At 40.1% G+C, this 19,005-nt stretch overlaps 2 annotated features.

Annotated features, from left to right (window-relative positions):
* Positions 3,024-3,594: an enhancer, noted in NCBI's record as "NANOG hESC enhancer chr2:208265954-208266524 (GRCh37/hg19 assembly coordinates)". NCBI's record gives its function as "activates a minimal SCP1, AML or CMV promoter by ChIP-STARR-seq in naive H9 embryonic stem cells {active_cell/tissue: H9 hESC(naive)}" and the evidence as "EXISTENCE:reporter gene assay evidence [ECO:0000049][PMID:30033119]".
* Positions 9,241-10,440: an enhancer, noted in NCBI's record as "BRD4-independent group 4 enhancer chr2:208259108-208260307 (GRCh37/hg19 assembly coordinates)". NCBI's record gives its function as "activates an origin of replication core promoter dependent on BRD2, P300/CBP, MED14 and CDK7 cofactors, and independent of BRD4, by STARR-seq in HCT116 cells {active_cell/tissue: HCT116}" and the evidence as "EXISTENCE:reporter gene assay evidence [ECO:0000049][PMID:35650434]".

Below are 19,005 nucleotides of genomic sequence, written 5' to 3'. Positions count from 1 at the left end.
ATATGTGCTGAGCAGCAACAAAATGATAAACATTTTCATAATCCTGATTTTATTTAATTTCCACAATAAAGCCTACAAAGTAGCTATTCTTCTTCTCGTTTTATTGAACAGAAAGCTGAGGCTCACAGGAGTTAAATATCTTGCTCAAAGTTACACATTTAATACAGCCAATATTGCATCTATTTTCTGTTTCAGGACAGTGCTCCTTCTAACGCACCACAGCTGCTCCTGAATCAAAAGAGGACGCACTTCCATTGGGTTGGAATGTTCCGCATGCAGGTGTATGAGGAAGAGTTATTTGAACTGGTTCTTGACTGAATTATAGGGTTTGGCTAGGTGGTGGAAGAAGACAAGTTTATACCTGGACTGGAGGGATTAGCATGACTGAAGCCACAGGTTGGAAAATGCAAGGTGTATTTGGACGACTGTGTGTAGACTGTTTTGGCTGGAGAAGAGGGCTCATTCCTGTTACAAAATGGCACCCAGCCAAAGAGAGGAGAACAATGAAGATTGCTTCTGCCATTGTTGCGATTTGGGATTTTCAGGCACCTCTGTTAAATGAGGACAAACAGTGCTGACCTTCTCTTGCAGGCAGGCTGGGATTCTGAATCATCAGTGACTGGGAAGTGGTGTGCTCCATTATCTGAGGCATGATATTATATCCACCAGCTATTTCGTTCATGCAGTTGGATTTCTGCTCCATTGAAATGATTCTCTCAGTGTGAGCTCAATAACAAGGGGCATGATGGTAGTTTTTCTGTGTTGCCAGAAACTAGGTCTGAATTTCTTCCAGCGCCTCCTGCTCTAAAGCACCTCTTATGATTAATTAACCTTTTGTGGAGTAACTAGGACATCTGTGTGGGATGAGATGTACTTTGGTCAGACTTCAGTTTTTAGTTGTTCAGCAAGAGGATAATTAATTATAAGAGCTGAATCTGAACAGAAGATTGTTGGAGGAAGTCCAAATGAAGCAAAACATCTAATTATCAATGAACAGGAAGTTTTTTTTTAGTTGTCGTTATTGTGGGAGTGAATAAAATACTTAATGCAATATAAATAAGAGGTAGTAACAACTTAAGATGCCTGCTTTGAGTGTACACTTCATGTAAAAAATTTGGGATATTTGTTTTTTGGAGACAAAGTACAATGAACTAACCATAACTAGAAAAATTGGCAACAGAGGCCAAGTTAGTGTCTAAAATAAATATTGCCCTTTGAGATAATTGTGTTGCCTTTAACAAAGGTATATCTAGAACATCTGGCTATTGCCACTGACAAATAACAATAAACATCTCTTGTCTAGAAAAGAATGTTAGATTAAGATGGAAAGAAATAAAATACAGGAGGCTAAAAACAGTGCAAAATCAGTTTCTTTAACATAAATGGTTACTGTGATAGAGATGGTTTCCCAATGCTTAGCTTTCTGAAGTGAATCACCTCCAGTATTTAGCCCACATCTCCATAATACAAATTTTCTACAAAACCCCGGAGGCTGACACAGTCAGAGATTCTAGCTTGACTTGCTTGACTATGGTGACAGGGTAGGTTAGTGGATAGTGTGAGAAATTTCCACTGTCAAACAAAATGATCCCACATTCACTGATAACTTCTTCAGAAGTACTGCACTATCTATTTAATGAGAGAATATGATTGCAGCTCATGTTTATAGATATCAACACACTTCCATTGGCATGATGATGGTATGTCCTTTCTTGCTTATTTCTCCTGCCGCTAATGCAATAGCTTTCATTCCTTTCTTTCTCTCTACCTCATGGCTTCTGCTGTCAGTACTTACAGCCTATTCTTTGTGTTTATCTCAGTGTCTGTAGCTTTCTTTTGTCTGCTGCTGTTGGGAGACAATTCTCCTTGGGTCTCTTGCATTTCTGCACATCTCGTGATCAGGGGCATTGACAACTTTTGTTTTGGACTATCTTTTCCTGGGTGTTTACATGGCAAATGGACTCTCCAGAGTGAAAGATGGCTTTACTTTTTGTTTCGTATAATAAAGATAATATCTCCTTTGGGGCAAAGAAAGGGCAAGTTTGCTAGCAATTCATTATAAAAGATTTAGGTTTTCTAGGTTCAAGGTTCCTTGAGTGTGATGCAAATCTACTATTAGGCTACTCTGGCATTGCTATAAAGAAATGCCTGAGACTGGGTAATTTATAAAGAAAAGAGGCTTAATTGGCTCACAGTTCTGTAGGTACTATAGGAAGCATGGCACCGGCATCTGCTTGGCTTCTGGTGAGGCCTTAAGAAGCTTACAATCATGGCAGAAGGCAAAGGGGGAGCCCATGTATCACATGGTGAGAGTGGGAGCAAGAGAGAGAGAGTGCAGGGGAGGTGCCACATGCTGTTAAACAGCAAGATCTCATGAGAACTCTCTCACTGTCATGAGGACAGCACCAAGTCATGAGGGATCTGCCCTGCATGACCCAAATACCTCCCATCAGGCCCCATCTCCACAAGGGGGATTACATCTCAACATGAGATTTGGAGGGGACATCCAAACTATATCACCTACTACATTGCATGGCTGTTCCGTGTCACACCTTTGGAAGTTAGAGGGGTGGGGGACAAGAGAAATTGAGGCAAATATGAAGTTTATGCTCGCTGAGCTGTGAGTAATAAGTCCTTTGTCTCTTACACAGATGTCTTTTTTTTTTTGCCAGCATCCATTAAAGCATGGCCAACTAAATTGTTAGCTTGCAAGGAAGGTTAGACCTCTTCACTATTTTTGACTTGTATATCTTATAGTCCAACACCCTATAGGATCTGACAGAATCAGGTAGTCACCATCCAGAATAGAAAATCCCGGTAGCACTAAGCTCTTTTGTTAGGCCATTTTGTAGGCCAGTCCATAGATTGCTGCCTTTGGATCAGGTCCCTTTCTTGGACCAGTCATCTGTGGTTAAGTTTTTAAGGTCACTGTGTTCAAATATTTGGGCCCATGAATGAGGAACTCATTAAAAGGGGGCTGTAGGAAAACGCTTTGAGGTTATCAGAAGCAGACATGGAAACTTTTGCCTTTCGTAGACTTTCCTGTGCTTTCTGAGATTTTTGCCAACAGCAATGAGTGTATGTCTTCTGCAGCTCATCAGTTTTCTGCCTAAACAGGAAGCCTTTGATAAATCTTCTGTTTCTAATACTGAATATCTGAATGAATGCTTGGGTTTGCTGTCATGCTTCTCTTAGCATTTATTTCTCCATTGGAAGAGCAGCCATGAGGTTGACTGGGACTACCCCCACTGCCAGGTTCAGGTATGTACCCTCATTGGCTTAAATCAATCAGCAAAATTCCTTCCCTTCTGTCATGGTGATTGATGCAGAGGTAAATGTCAATGGCTTATGACTTTAGGCCATTGCTTGGGAAGCTTGATTTTTCTGAATAATCTGGTATGGGAATGTGAACCCTAAACTATAGCTTCCATTTTGTCCTCAAGAGGGAAGCTAGCCTAAAGTTAAAGGTGGCACTTAAAAAAGGAAGATCCAAGAGAATATAAAAAATTGGAGCCAGAGCCCTCATCAAACTGTCTCATGATTTCTGGGCTTTCAGTTGTATCAGCCAATAAATTAACCTTATTGTTAATGCCAGTTTGAGTTGGGTTTTCTATTACTTACCACCAAAATCATCCTGAGTGATACATTTACCAGTTTTCTTAACATCTGAGACCACTCATGGGTTAATGTTCTGAGATTATAGAGGCGATGCAGACATCTTTCTGAAGTTAGGTCAGTGCACTTTGAGCCTGGAGCATGTCACTGCTCTTTTTCCAGCACCTGGCACATAGTATGTGCTCCTACACATTTGTGGGATGAATCAATAAATACTGCCTGTTGCTCCCCAGAATTTGTCTGTTATGTTCCTGACTTTGGTCACTCTTCAAAAATTTCTGCTTTTTCCACCAACAGTGGCTACCCATGTCATCTCGGGCTCCACGTTCTCCAGGGATGGGTTTTCACACTGGTGATTCAGCAGCCAAGCCATACTACTTAATCAAAAGTTATAATTTTGGTTGGAACTGTTCAGTGGTTCATTATAATCTACAGCTCACATCTTATGGTAAAAGGACAGAGTAACTAGTTTTGCTTCAGTACAATGTTATTTTCTTTTTTTTTTTTTAACTTTCTTTTCTTAAAATTAATTTTAATTTTAATTTTAAGTTCTGGGGTACACGTGCAGGATGTGCTGGCTTGTTACATAGGTAAACGTGTGCAATGGTGGTTTGCTGCACCTATCAACCCATCATCTAGGTATTAAGCCTGGCATATATTGGCTATTTTTCCCAATGCTCTCCCTCCCCCAACCCCACCCCATGACAGGCCCCAGTGTGTGCCATTTCCTTCCCTGTGTCCATGTGTTCTCATTGTGCAGCTCTCACTTATAAGTGAGAACATGTGGTGTTTGGTTTTCTGTTCCTGAGTTAGCTTGCTGAGGATAATGCCTTCCAGCTCCAACCATGTCCCTGCAGAGGACATGATCTCATTCCTTTTTATGGCTGCATAGTATTCCATGGTATATATGAGGTACAATGTTATTTTCTTCAGAAAATAATCAGACCTAGAGTTTGTTTTAGATCTCAGCACTGCCCAATTTAAGTACAAAATAATCATAATAATTATAATTACAACATCTTTATAAGTGAAAACTTCCAGATAAAAAAAATCAAGACACAGATGACCTTTCCCAATGTACAGGTCACTCTTCCATCTGTTTTAAGTGGAAGGACTAACAGGAATCACACCCAAAGTGAGAGAATAATTAGAATAACAAGGTTAGAACCGCCTTGCTAACCATGGCCAAGGCTGTGCTAAAATGACGAAGAATCCTGGTCAGACCACAAGTTAATACTCCCAGCTCGCCAGGCCACATGCTTGCTGATACTAAGATTTTCTAGTGGATGTGGGAAACAGTTGAAATTGGAATATCTGGGTCAGCACAACTTAATGTGCACTATGACAAAAATCTAACTTGAGCAGCCTTCCCCAATGTTCACAGTTCTTTTCCTCTCGTTCAAATGTTTTGGTACACCCCAAACATGAGACAATTTCTCCTAATGTCCTCTATGAACAGGAAATTCACAAGTGGCAAAAAGTAGGTAGCAGAGTTATTATGCAAAGACCAACCATCTAGGAATAAGGCAGAAAGGCTTCTCTCCTCAAATGGGGCACTATTTATACCACTCAACTCACCCATGCACCTCGAAATGTCTTTCTGGAGTCTTAAAGGTAGTTCACAGAGAAACCCAGATTAAGTGATTGACTTAAAGCTAAGCTAGACTTTAAAGCCATATGTCACTGGGGAGAACAAAGGGCCTGCTGACGTTTCAAACAAAGGGTCTCTGTTCTGCTCAAATTTGAATTCAAAGAAATCCTTTTGCCAACTAAATTCTCCATAGTTTCTCTAATTGGGTTGCATTTCAGTCTTTATTATTTCATTAACATAGCTTTAGGTACACTTATTTTCCTAAAGTCCAGGTTATTTCTAATTCATTCTATATTTAGAAGTCCAAAATATCACCATCAGTTTCCCTGAAGCCTCCTGACTGGTTAAGATTATCAACGGACTCTTCTGGCTAGAAAAAAAAAATCCTGTTAACCATTTCCCCATGGTATCCTTCCCAGCAGTAAAATTCACAGCAAAGCTACTTGATTTCTTAGGCACTCATTTTTCTTCTATAATGAGACTGCCGACAGATGCCCATATAATGGAAATCTCCATTGACTACCATGGATCATCTCTATCCGAACTTTGTAATCTGCATCAAGAAAGAATTTTCAATATCGTCTGTCTTTCTGGATGGTCTATTTCCCCTTTTGTCATTTATACAAATCCTCTTCACCATGCTTCCACCTTCATGTGTGTGCATTTCTGTACAGCAGTATATCCTCTTACCCTTATTATAGCAGTTGATTGTATGTACTTTGCTTTATTATTCTTTTCTCTAGTGTTTTTTTTTTTCTTCTAAGCATGGATTTATTTCATCCAGCTGGTTCCAAGAATAGGAGCCATATCTTCTAATTCTTCTTATGCCTCTAAATACCACTTAGCACATTGAAGATGCCTAATAAATATGCTTCCCTAGTAATATCAGCTTTCTGGTCTTAGTTTCATTTGCATTAATTTGCTTTCCCTTAAAAAATTCCTCAAATTTATTTGTTAAATTCATATGTAAATTGTTTAGAAAACATTCTCAGGCCTCTTATAAACTCATTTCACCTAGTTACAGATACACTGTAGCTGGATTTTGACTGGAAAGGAATTTTGGATGTATGAGCTGTGACATGACTGTATTCCTATCTTAACTCAGCATCTCACCGGTGGCTTTTCATTACTACAACTCTAACTGGTTTATTGAGGGTGGAGTTTAACTAAGAAACAACTTTTATCCTTCTTCCACGTCTGGCCTTAATTATTATACTTGATCAGATTTCCTTTCTTTGCCTCCTTGGTGACAACTTGCACAAACCGCACAGTCTTTCAGTCAATTTCAACGTGTTAACAAACAGGCTCATTTTCAAGTATAAAATAAAATAGCACAACCCAATCTAATGTAAAAACTTAAATCTTCCATTTAATGGAAGCTCCTTCCCCAACACACCCCCTTCTCCACTTTGTCCCAGGGTCTCTCAGAGGAAATGTGACTCCTCAGGGCTGTAGACAGGCAACGAAGCATGGCCTGATTCCCTTTTTTGGTTCTCCACTTGGCTCTTTCATTCTCAGCCCCACATCAGCAGGTTGCTCTCAGACTCTTACAGAGTTGGGCTGTCAAAAAGGGAGGAGGGGTAGACGGTGACCGAGTTTCTAATTTGGCTGCTACTCATACAACGGTGTCAGAGTTCCCTGTGTGGCAAATGCCCCATTGCCGAATTTCTTTAGTTGGTGTATTTTGTAGGTAATTGGGGACCCTCCCCACCAGAACCCCCGACACAGGGGACTCTGTCCTGCATAGGGGAGTGTGTTCTCTGGCTGACCTCTTGTGACACCCTCTCAGTTCTTTGCTCCATTCATATACTCCACTGAACTTTCCTTTGCTGGGGGGTCCCTGATCCTGATTCCTGTCAAGAGGCCCCTAGAATGGGTACCCCTAGTGGCATCACATGGCCCAGAAAATCTTCATCCTGCCTTGGGCTGATAGAGGTGCAGTTGACTCACTCTATTGTCTTTTCAGCTCATTTATTCTCCAGGGACAGTTATTATCTTGGAGGGCAGTCCAGGTTCTCTCAAGGACTCTTTCTTGCTCCATCTCCTAAGATCATTTCCTAGTGGACTAAGATGCTGGTCTCTCCAATGCAAGGGGTTGTGTTGAAGCCCCTTCCACTTGACTGGGAGGGTTTGTGGGGAATTGGGGGAGGCAGACCACCCTCCTTTCCTTTTCCATGGAAATGGAGACTGGAAAACCCACTCCCATGAATTTCTCTGAAGAATCTTCTCTCTTGTGTGCAGCAGGCTGTGAATGATGGGCTAAGATTCCCAGACCAGTTCGGGCCACTTCTTACCTCGCTAGTCCTGCAAGGAGGGTCTTTGAAATATGGGACATGTAACTCTTCTGGTTTTAGTCTTGGAGATGTCAGATGAAGTCTCAGTTAACACCATGTCATGATACAAAAACAATTTGTGGCACTAAATGTCTCATGTTCCCTTAGTGAAAAATAAAGTATAACTACACACATTCCTTCAATGTTTTTTCCAGATTCTTCTGCGTGATCCTTATAGGTGAAGCAAGGCATTTCCAAAGCCCAGATGTTTATTCCTTTCTTATTCTAATATCATACCTTTTACCACCAAATTCAAAACATATGATTACAAAATTAGATAGGTAAATATTAGAGTGTAGACTTGTTGAATAATATTTGAGTTCAGTATTCTTCATGTTGACACCTCTTTTGGTTGAACAGTTAATATTTACATTGAAATATTCTTTAGTGAAGAAAACCTGCTATAAAGAGAATCATATTGTGTGCAATTCTTGGCTTAAGCGATTCTGATTTCTCATATGTTTTTGAGATATCTTAATGCTGAGAATTGGATTAACTCGCACAGAGCTTCATATCAGGTGAACTGCTCAGGTTTGTAACCTTAGACAAAGCATTTTTATATGGGACTTGGTTGTATAATTTTTAAATTGAGAAGATTTCACTGGGTAATCTTTAAAGTCCTTCAAGCCTCGAATAGTTTGCCACATTTGGATAATATACATTCATGTCGGTGTGAGTTGAAAAGGAAGCTTAAAGAATGGTAACTGGTTTTTAAAATATATCTGATTCAATATTTGCACTGACAACAGTGTTGTTAGACACAGAACTTCGTCATTCACAGATTCATCATACAATTCATTCAGCCTTTAATTTTGTTATTTAATGTTGCTATACTTTTAGTAATGAAAAGCTAATGATCAGTGACTTTAATTATGTGCGTGTTCTTTTTTTTTTTAATTATACTTTAAGTTTTAGGGTACATGTGCACATTGTGCAGGTTAGTTACATATGTATACATGTGCCATGCTGGTGCGCTGCACCCACTAACTCGTCATCTAGCATTAGGTATATCTCCCGATGCTATCCCTCCCCCCTCCCCCCACCCCACAACAGTCACCAGAGTGTAATATTCCCCTTCCTGTGTCCATGTGATCTCATTGTTCAGTTCCCACCTATGAGTGAGAATATGTGGTGTTTGGTTTTTTGTTCTTGCGATAGTTTACTGAGAATGATGATTTCCAGTTTCATCCATGTCCCTACTAAGGACATGAACTCATCATTTTTTATGGCTGCATAGTATTCCATGGTGTAGTATTCTGTCTTCACTGGTTGTAAAAGAAGTTACTAGATGTTTCTCTTAGGCTATATATATGTGTATGTGTTTACATATATATATTTGCACAACCACTAGATAATAGATTAAGGTTTCTTATGAACAGTGAGCATAACACCACCAAAACTAAACTCAGAATATCTCCCTTGAGTCTGCTCCTCAGGCTTTCCTACCAGATGAAATGACACCAAGCCACAAACCAGGAGTCTCCTATGACTCTTTTCTTTCCCTCACCTTTGACATCCAATCAGCTAGAAAATCCTTGGCTCAGCTTTCAAAGTTGATCTCAGATTACTTCATTCCTCTCCACCTCCTCTGTTTCACCAATCTGCCAGTCCTTCCATGGATTAAGGCAGAAACCGCTTCAGTGTTCTCTCAGCTTCTTTTGCCCCTAGGCTCTGCATAGCAACCACAGTGGTCTTTCAACACCTAAACCACTTCACTTTCCTCCTCTCCCTAAAACCTTCCAGTGGCATTTGCTTGCACTTAGAATAAAATCCAAGTTCCTTATTGTGGCATGTTAGTTAAGGTGATACTGGCTGTGGTGGTGAATACAACTCTAATGTTCAGTGCTTCCTTCACACATGAAAACATATCCCTGGCTCAGGTAATAGTTTGGTGCACGTGTCCCTGGTTTTGAGCAATTTTCCTCCACATGGTGATTCAGGGACCCAGGTTTTTTCTTCTTGTGATCGTGTCGTCTGCTATGGCCTCAGAGCCTTCTACATCCAGCTGGCAGATGGAGGAAGAGAGAATGGAAAAGGCACACCCATTTTTTAACTGCTGTAACATTAATATGACCCCATTACAGCAACTCACATTCCACAGATGAGAACTGGTCATGATAACCTACAGGCCACATTTGGCAGGCTTCCAAATTACCACCCCACCCCGGGGGAGGTCTTATGATTCATGGAGTATATCCTGTCCTGAGTGAAGAATCTTATTGTGAGTTCTTCAAACTGTTAACACACTGATTAATACGTATCCTACTGACAGTGAAAAGGATGCTGATGTGTTTCTGAATCACGAAGTTTTGCTGATTTGTTTCTGAATCATGAAGTTTTACTGATTGTCTTGCACGTAGCACATTTTAGCCTGTATGATGTCACCTGCAGCCAATGATTGTAACCTCTGTATTGTAGCCTCCACTGAACAGGACAACTCTGGTATAAGGAGTCCTCCTCCCTTCTTCTAAACTTTCCCATAAAAGCCTTCCAGCTTGTAGCAGCCTCTGGCACACACACAACTTTGTTGGCCTGTCTTCCCGGGGGGACCCTCACAAATTATTTCTGTCTCAACAGCCTTAATTTCAGTTAAGAGTCACATGAACTTCCCTAGAAGCTAGTGGGGGGAGTGAGAAATGTAGTCTCTGTCAGGGAGATGCTCTCTAGGCAGTGAAAAGCGCTATGGAGGGCAGTCTGAATCCTTGGTGGCCAGCCAGCTAGCCATCCTGCTGCACATGGTCTTCCAGCCCCCCCATGACTTGCCCTTGCCCTCCTTTCTAACCTCCTCGCAACCCCTTTCCCTGGCTATGGTCCAGTCACACTGGCCTCCTTCCTTCTGTAACCTCAGACTCATCCTTGACTTAGGACTTTTGTGTTCTCTCCCTTCTGCCTGGAAAGTTATTGTTCCCAGACCTTTGCCTGGGTATTTCTCTTTAACACTCAAGCCTCAGTTCAAATGCCATCCCCTCAGGAGCCCTTCCTGACTATGCAATACAGACACATCACCAGGTTTAGTTGTCTTTACAACATGAATCAACTATCTGGAATTATCTGTGCTTTTTAACTCGGTTATTGTCTACTCTGCCCCTACTCGCCATCTGTGTAATGTAAACTCCATGCCTGACTGTCTTGCTCTCTGCTGTCTATATGTCCAGCACACAAAACCTGACTGGCACATATATGTCACTAAATACATATTTATTAAATGAACGGATAAAATCTTTTGGTCCTGGGTTCATATCAGTGAAGAAGAGTTGGTATAGGAACACCAGTGCCACTTTACATTTTCAATCACTAAGGTTCAGTTGTGCTGATCAATCATTCAACCAGTAAAATCAACCATTTCTTCTGCATTAAATCCTCATTGTACCATCCTGGAAGAACCTGGTGGTATATCTTAATCTAGTCAACCAACTAACCAACCAATCTATATCCTGTTAGAAATCCTTCTGTGCAAATTATTTTAAAATGTACTTAGTCTTTTGGAATTTTTTAAATAGTCTTTTCCTGACTAAATGTGAATCTGCATTACAAGTGGTACATTTTGCTTGCAAGTAATTCTTATTGCCACTAATAACACTACCGGGGAATACAAATAAACCAATGCAAAGCAATTCTAATGTCTGCTCCACCAGCCAGTTTTAAAGCTGCTAATGGAACTTGAGGCGTTAGAGTTTTGTGTGTGCTCAGAATTTCAGAATGACTTCTTAATTCCTTTTCCTTATTATTTCCAGGGTGGAAATTCAAAGCCCTTTTGAATTCTTATTGATGAAATTACTGGCAAAAATATGGAGTTTTATGAGCATATATTTTATTCTACTGCGAGGCAACATTAGACAATGAAACAAATATTTGTTTCAAAGCCAAAAGTCCTGAGTTTGAATTTTTTGGGTCTGCCATTTGTCAGCTGTGTGACCTTGGGCAGGTTGTTACTTTTTTTCTGTGCGTCATCAGTTTCTCAATCCATACAAAAACAGTGATAATCTTCACAGGGCCTTTGTGAGGAATAAATATGAGTGTTTAGCTTAAAGCCGACGCTTAGTAGGTGCTCAAACGATGTCAATTTTTCTCCTTTATGGTGTTCTTTACTCCATTTAGCCCAAAGTTCTTTAGAAGACAAAGTCTGAAAGAGCAAAAGTTTTAAAAAATATAGAACACTTTAACATAAAATTTCTCATATATGCTCAGGGTTGAATTAGAAATGTTGGGGTCATTTCTTTCTGTCTTGCTCATGTATCTCATAAGTTATAAGTCATGTTGAGTCTACTCCTGAATTATTCCTGGAGACCATCCACTTATCTCTGGATACTATACCTCCTTTTTCAGTAGGATAACTCCCAACTGGTCTCTTCAGCGCCTTCTTTTTCAACTCTATCCTCTATATTGTGTTACTGTTAGTTTTCTAAAATACTGATATAAACATATTACTTTCCTTCTTATGGCTCAGAGCCTTCAGTTGCCCATAGGTTAAAATTTGTCCATGTAAATTCTTAGCACGGTTTAGCTCTAAATAATTTCATTAGCCAAATTTTCTTCCTTTGTATTCTCACTCACCCTACATTCTTGTTATACTGACCTTTTCATTATTCCCCACTCTGTCTTCTGTGAGCCTTTCTGCCTTGAAAAGCAGTTTATTTTCTATCTAGAATATTCTACCTTCTCTTCTTTGCCAGGTTAACTCCTACTCATCCTTCAGGATCCAAGTCACATATCACTTCTTCAGCTCTGTTGTACATGTGGACCATGGCAATGTCTGTGCTCTACCACTATGTCTACTGCTGGAGTCCAGGCTTGTCTGGGTGAATCCTAAGGACTGGGATGGGGATGGGTGGCCCCTTCTGCTGACAACCCAGTAATGGCACATAAACTTTCCATAAAATTTAAAACATTATTAAATTCATTTTACATTATATTGCTTAATAAAGCAATTCATGTATTTCAGATTTGGAATCTGAAATAGAATTCAAATCAAAATATATAATATTAAGATGCTAAAAGAAATCACATTTAGCAATAAGAGATCTGCAAGTTCAGTCAAGGAAAAATAACATAAACCATCTTCAAAAGCAACTTACTCAACAATAAAATTTGATCAAGGGTACAACATTAAAATCAGATACTGCTGTGTATGATAATTATAAAATATATAAAATTTTAGCCTGTGATGAAAACCTCGAGTGAAAGGCAGATAAAAGAATAAGGCTTAAGTCGATGATATTGCATCTCCTGATAATAAAAGTATATAGCATCTATTACAAATGTGGTCTGGAAACTTAAAAAAAAAATAGTTATTAATTGATCTGCATGGAGAGAATGTTGCTTTTTACTGCTTTAGTCTGTCTGCCAAAAAGCAGTCAACAAACAGTTTCAGGGTATTCTCTATGCTTCGGGCACTGTGCTAGGCATTGTGGAGATTATAAAGAAGTGTAAAAAGGTGGTTCCTGGCCTCAAGGGGCTTTCAGTCTGTTTCTTGTTCAGCTTAGCTTAATCTCAGATTCCCTCTCCTAACCTTGTATTCAAGGGTTTGGTTAATGAGTACCATTCTCTATCCACACCCTTCTTCTAAATCCAGTATCAGCACTTGCATTCTTTCACATTTCACATCAGCTTGTCAAGTCCCACTCCAGTTAGGAGCACTCTGGCCTGCATCTGTCCCTCTTCCACAAGGGGTGCAATTAACTGGTTAATACAGCCCCCATCTTGCCCCAGAGCTTTCACCACTGTTTATAAGAGTTAAGGCCCCCCATTTATATCTAATTACCTTCACCTCTATTACCCTAAATCTTTCTCTACATACTCATGTTTCTGGAAAGAAATGAATCTTAATCCCATCTTCAGTTCTCATCTAGAAAGAGCTTTGTTTTCTTCTCCTTTTTTCTCCAGAAGACTCTTGAACTCCAAAATTACTCAGGGGAGGTGCTGTGTTACAAGTTAAGCTCTTTGACCTGAGTTTTCACTAAGATCTTATCGGGAGAGAGGATGAATGAAACATAGGGTAGGTGGAGGGAGGTAATTTAAGAACTTGGAGTGGGGTAGAAACTCCTGAAGGCACGAAGTAGCAGTTGGCAGAAGAGGTGGGAGAGAGAAATAGTGATATGCTATTTAGTTTACAGTTTTTTCTAAAGTCTGGTCTTGAGTATTGAAATGGCTCCTCTCTTTAGGGTCTAGTTTCATGAACTCTGCTGCTAGACATTTTTTTCCAGTGAATATTTATTACCCCAACTGTAATCCTTCATTTAACATAATATAAAAATTGTGGAAAAAGAGAGCAATTAGTAATAAATCATTATCTCATCCATTAGCAGTAAATAATACCACTTTGTCAAAGTCAATCATCAAGCAGTCAGCTAGAGGTGATTATGTGTGCTACCCAAGTGGAATCAGTCCAAAAACAAACCACAGCTCCCGTTTATTATCCTAATTATGCCGTAATATGATGCCATCTTTTTCTCCCATAAACTTGATGACAATAAGAGGGTAACAATGAAAATTGACAGGATAAGTGAGCAAGGAAAGGTAGCCTGAGATATGTCCCAGCCCTGCCACTTATCAACCTCTCTAATTTCTGATGCTGAAGAAAGCTCTAAGACTCAAGGAGGGAGTTGAACAGAACAGGGAAACCCTTGGTGTGTTGTATGTACCATTATATGGAATAATCTTTTGCCATGAGACTATTAATCAAATCAGAATACAGGCAGTTCTCACTTTCCATGGTACCATGTCGACTGAATTGTGTGCGTAGCAGAACTGTGTCATCATTTTACATGGTTCAGTGGCAGCTGAGATTGTTACCATGGAATTGTGCAAAAGAGAGGACACAGTGCCAATATGCACACAATTCAGTTAACATAGAACCATGCAAAGTGAGAACTGCTTGTAGTCTGTGTAAAATAGCCCTTCACCCCAAACCTTTATTAACTTGAATTTTATCAGACTCTTGGAAGCAGTGGCATTGATGGGTGAATAAATGCAAAAGGTTTCTATGACATCCTAATCTGTTATCTAGGATGAAAGATGCACATCAGCTGGATTGAGTGGATCCATGATAGGAAGATGAGACTTCTGTGCTGGAGAAGGTGAGAGAAGTATAGGGTAGGGGCCCAAAGCATAGTTTAAAGATCAGAGTTAGTTGGAGAAACCAGGTTGAAGGCTAGAGAAAGAATACTGGTATGGTGATTAATATGAAACGTCCAGCTAAAGAAAATTAGGACATTCTCCAGAACCAGGAGAAGGCCAGTTAAAGATTTGTTGGGTTAAAGTCTGGGGAATCCTCCCTGAATTAGCTGCTCAGGTGATGGTGCTGTTGGGATTGCAACCTGTCGTGGATACCTCCATAGAGGATTTGCACAGCCTAAAACACCCTCAACTGGTCCAACCAGCCCCAGTGGTTTGACCCGTGGGGACACTCCTGACAAGGTGACTCTGCTCCCTGGGCACATGGAATTGTCCAAGGGTATTCCCCTAACCTGAGCTGGACCAGAGTCCTTTCCCTGTAGATTTGGAATTGAGAATGATTGAAAACAGTCAGATTCCTATGTGGGGGCTGGATCATTGAAAGCTTCCTTGCTGTGTGGTGGGTATTTCTTCTCTGCCATGCACACCAAAGATGCAGAGCATGCCTTTTAGCTTTATTCTTTGGTCTCTGTGACTTGCAGATGGAAGCAGAGATAAGAGATGAAGAGATGCTCTTGAATGTTCTTCTGGTTCCTGAATCCACTCTCTTTTGAGGCCAAGATGTGCCCCTGTCTTGAGTTTCTGTAAGACATTCATGTACCCCATGTTAAACTCAACTTTTTGATTTAAACTTGTCTGAATACATTTCTGTTACTTGCAAGTAAATAATTACAACATATGATAGGAGTCTAAAGGGCATAGGATAGATAGAATGGGAATTAATGAGATCTTGATTGGGAGGAAAAGCAGTTTAGATGAACAAAAAAAAAAATTACTGTGATCCCCATTCCAAGGGCTGAGTCTGGGAGAGTGGCCTGTGGTCAGAAGGTTCACAAAAACCTTCAGTGAATAGAAATAGTCTTCAATGATCCAAGCTTATGCCATGTTGAGTGATGTGAGATTTATTTATGATGGGCCTCAACTGTACATAGTCGGTGCCCTGTAATTCAAAAACCCCACCAAACGAGGTCTAAGATCTCTGGTCCTTATTCTTGAGTTTCATGTCCAGTCATTTTCTGCCTCACGTCCTTTGCACCAGCCAATGTCCAGCTGAACTTCTTTCAGGTCTTTTAATAGACCATGCGGTTCACAGCCCCTGTGCCTCCCACATAATATTCCTCCTGCCTGGAAGTCCTGTTTCTTTTCACATTTTCTACCTGGTGGTCTGTGAGATGTCCTTCCAGGCACCTCTTTTCTATATACCTTCCCTGAACCCTCAACGCAGAGTAGATCTTTTCTTCCTTTATCTTACATACTGTCTTGTCTACTTGTTTATACGTTTTCCAAACAGACTCATAGTTCCTTCAGGGCAGACAGTATATCTTAATCATTTTTATTTCCTCTATGTGAGCACAGTTCCTGGACCATATTATATGCTCAATAAATATCTATTGACCCAACTTAATGAACCCCCTCAGGTTAGAATACAGATGAAGATTGTGCATGAATTGCATCAGTGTGCTGATGTAGACTTGCTGAGGAAGGTAGACCTCTAGCAATCTGGAGATGAGAAACAGTGGTAACTCTTCAGGCATGGCTGTTTTGAAGAGAACAGCTTCTCTCTATCTGATTTTAAAAAACCTCTTCCAGGTTATGGAAGTAAAATGTCACTCGGGTAAAAGTCAGAACATAGGCTGTAGGAACCGTCTTTTTGGGGGAGGCTCTGAAAATAAGCCATCTAATCACACAGACACAGACAGCCCAGGATTGGATGGAAACAGGATTTTGCTGATGCCTATTAAGCTGCAGTGTCTACATCTGAATCTCTAGTCATGACTTCTGAGTGTCATTACCACATTTTCAACCGCTGAACGGACATTGCCATCTTGAGTGTTTCCATAACTTCTGACTTAATGAATGTAAAACTAACTCATCAGAATACCTTCTACCCCAACTCCTTCTCTAGCCTCATTAAGGTGTCATCATTCTCTCATTCATCCAGTCTTAAATGCTGCAGTTTTTTCTCGTAGCATCTGATTAACCTGAATCTTTTCTTTCTCCTATTGTGATGTCTTTTAATCCATTCCCCCTCTCCAGTTTTACTGTCACCATCCCCCTTCATTCTTGGACTTTTACAATAATGCTAAAGTCTCCTAGCCTGAAGACATTTCACTCTACAATCTATCCTATATGCCACCACAACTAAATTAGCCTTCTATTCTCCTCATGTCAGTCTCTTGATAAAAATACTCGAAGCATCTAGTACAGTGTCATACAAAAAAGTTAATTAAAATTATAAACTTTATTGCAAGTGGGAATTCTGTCCATAATATAGAGCATATGAATTGCTGCCATGCCTATATTATTATAGATAAAAACATTATTTTATAGATTGTTAATACATTGTGCTATAAAAAAGGCTTTTTCAGTATTCTATGACCCTATGAGGTGGAAGCTGTATAAAGAGAAAAATAGTAATCATTCATATTGAATGGAGCAAGCAAGATACTTACAATGCAATTTGTTCCATTCCAATGTATCTATTTATTCCGTATATATTTATTGAGTATTTACTGTGTGCATGGTGGTAGGCTCTTGGGAGTGTTGAGGAGAGAAATATTTGAGTGAGGGGAGAAAAAGGAGAATGAGACCCAGTCCCTGTCCCCCTACAGCTTATTGTCTTCTGGTCTTATCTTTTCTATTGGATCAGGAACTATAAGACAGAAGACAATGTCAGGATGATTGGCAGTTTGATAGGTGGATATGGTGGCAGCATGAATGTGGGTGGAGTAGATCGGTTGAAGTTGTGGTGACAGAAGGATCAGCTTGCCTAGAAGTGTGGCGTGAGCAAAGGTTTATTCATCATTCATGATCTCAAGAAAAAGTCAAGGCCATCAAACTTGACTTTGGGTTTCTGTTTCTATTAACTGCAATAGTGATTCTGCATGAGAAGCAGTAAGTTGGCTGTGATGACACTGTCGGTTTTTTGGGAAATTTTTAAACTCTTGTAATCCCACTGCCTTAAAGGCTCAGATGACATAATAATGTGCCTATTAGCTTGGTCTGGGCTTCCTCTGAAAGCAGAGCCTAAGATGTGAGTATAAGTAATTTATTTAGGCAATGATCTCAGAAAACAGAAGTGAGGGAACAGGGGAACAAGACAAGAATGGAGGAAAAACCTGATAAAAGAGCATTCCTGAGTTGTTTAACACTGGGACAATTGGGGCTCCATCTCTCTGGGAGACCCTCTGAGGAAACTTGTAGGCCATCTCTCAAAATTGTGCCTAGGAGGGGGACATTTATGAGCCAACTTTGTCCTCCTTTGGAAGAGTACAGTGCCCTACACTTCCAGAGTGTCCTACTGCTCTGGCAGAGAGAGCATCATTGGCCAAGGCAGAAAATTGGAGATATGTCACTGGACCCTAATGACTTGCATAGGAATTGTTAACCCATGCTGGAACTTGAGGCAGCTGAGGACATATGGCTGGATGCAAAAGTTGCCTACCATGCCTATGCATCTCACCTGGAGTGTGTATACCTCTTTAGAAATGAGGCAGAGTGTCCAGAGTAATTAAAGAGGGCTAATAAACATGGACTACCTTCCTGAAACCACCATTTTTATCCACAGATTTTTTTTGGGGGTTAAAAAGCCTCCACATTATTTATATGTAAGAACAAATATGGATATACTCTAGACTAAAATGTTAACTATGCAAAAAAATTTAACCCAAAAACCAAGACTTCAAAGAAATGCTGCTTCAGACTGGCCTCAAAGATGCCTGTATTTTATTTTTATGTTCACTCCCTATGATGGTTAGTTTATGCCAACTTGGCTAGGAGATGGCAACTAGTTACGCAGTAAACACTACTCTAGATGTTGTTGTGAAGGTCTTTTGTAGATGTGGCTAATATCTATAATCTGTTGACTTTAAGTGAAGGAGATTATGTTCAATAATATGGGTGGGCTTCATCCAGTCAGCTGAAAGGCCTTCAGAACAACAGTGAGGTTTCCTGAGGAAGAAGAAACTCCGCCTCAAGATTACAGCATCAGCTTCTGCCTGAGAGTTCCAGCCTGCTGGCCTGCTCTACAGACTTCTGACTCACCAGTCCTCACAACCACAGAAGCCAATTCCTTGAAATAAATTTGTGTTTATATATGTGTGCATATATATAGTATATATGTATATGTGAGTATATGTGATATATATGTATATATACTCATATATGTGCATATTTGTATATATATAATCTTCATACATTGGTTCTGTTTCTTTGGTAGAATCCGGACTGATAATACAGTCATACTTCAGTATCCATGGGGTATCAGTTCCAGGAACACCCCAACCCTGTGGA

Source organism: Homo sapiens, chromosome 2 (genome assembly GCF_000001405.40).
Source record: "Homo sapiens chromosome 2, GRCh38.p14 Primary Assembly".
Taxonomy (NCBI): Eukaryota; Metazoa; Chordata; class Mammalia; order Primates; family Hominidae; genus Homo; species Homo sapiens.
The sequence above is the reverse complement of the archived record's forward strand: the minus strand, read 5'-3'. Positions and strand labels throughout refer to the sequence as shown.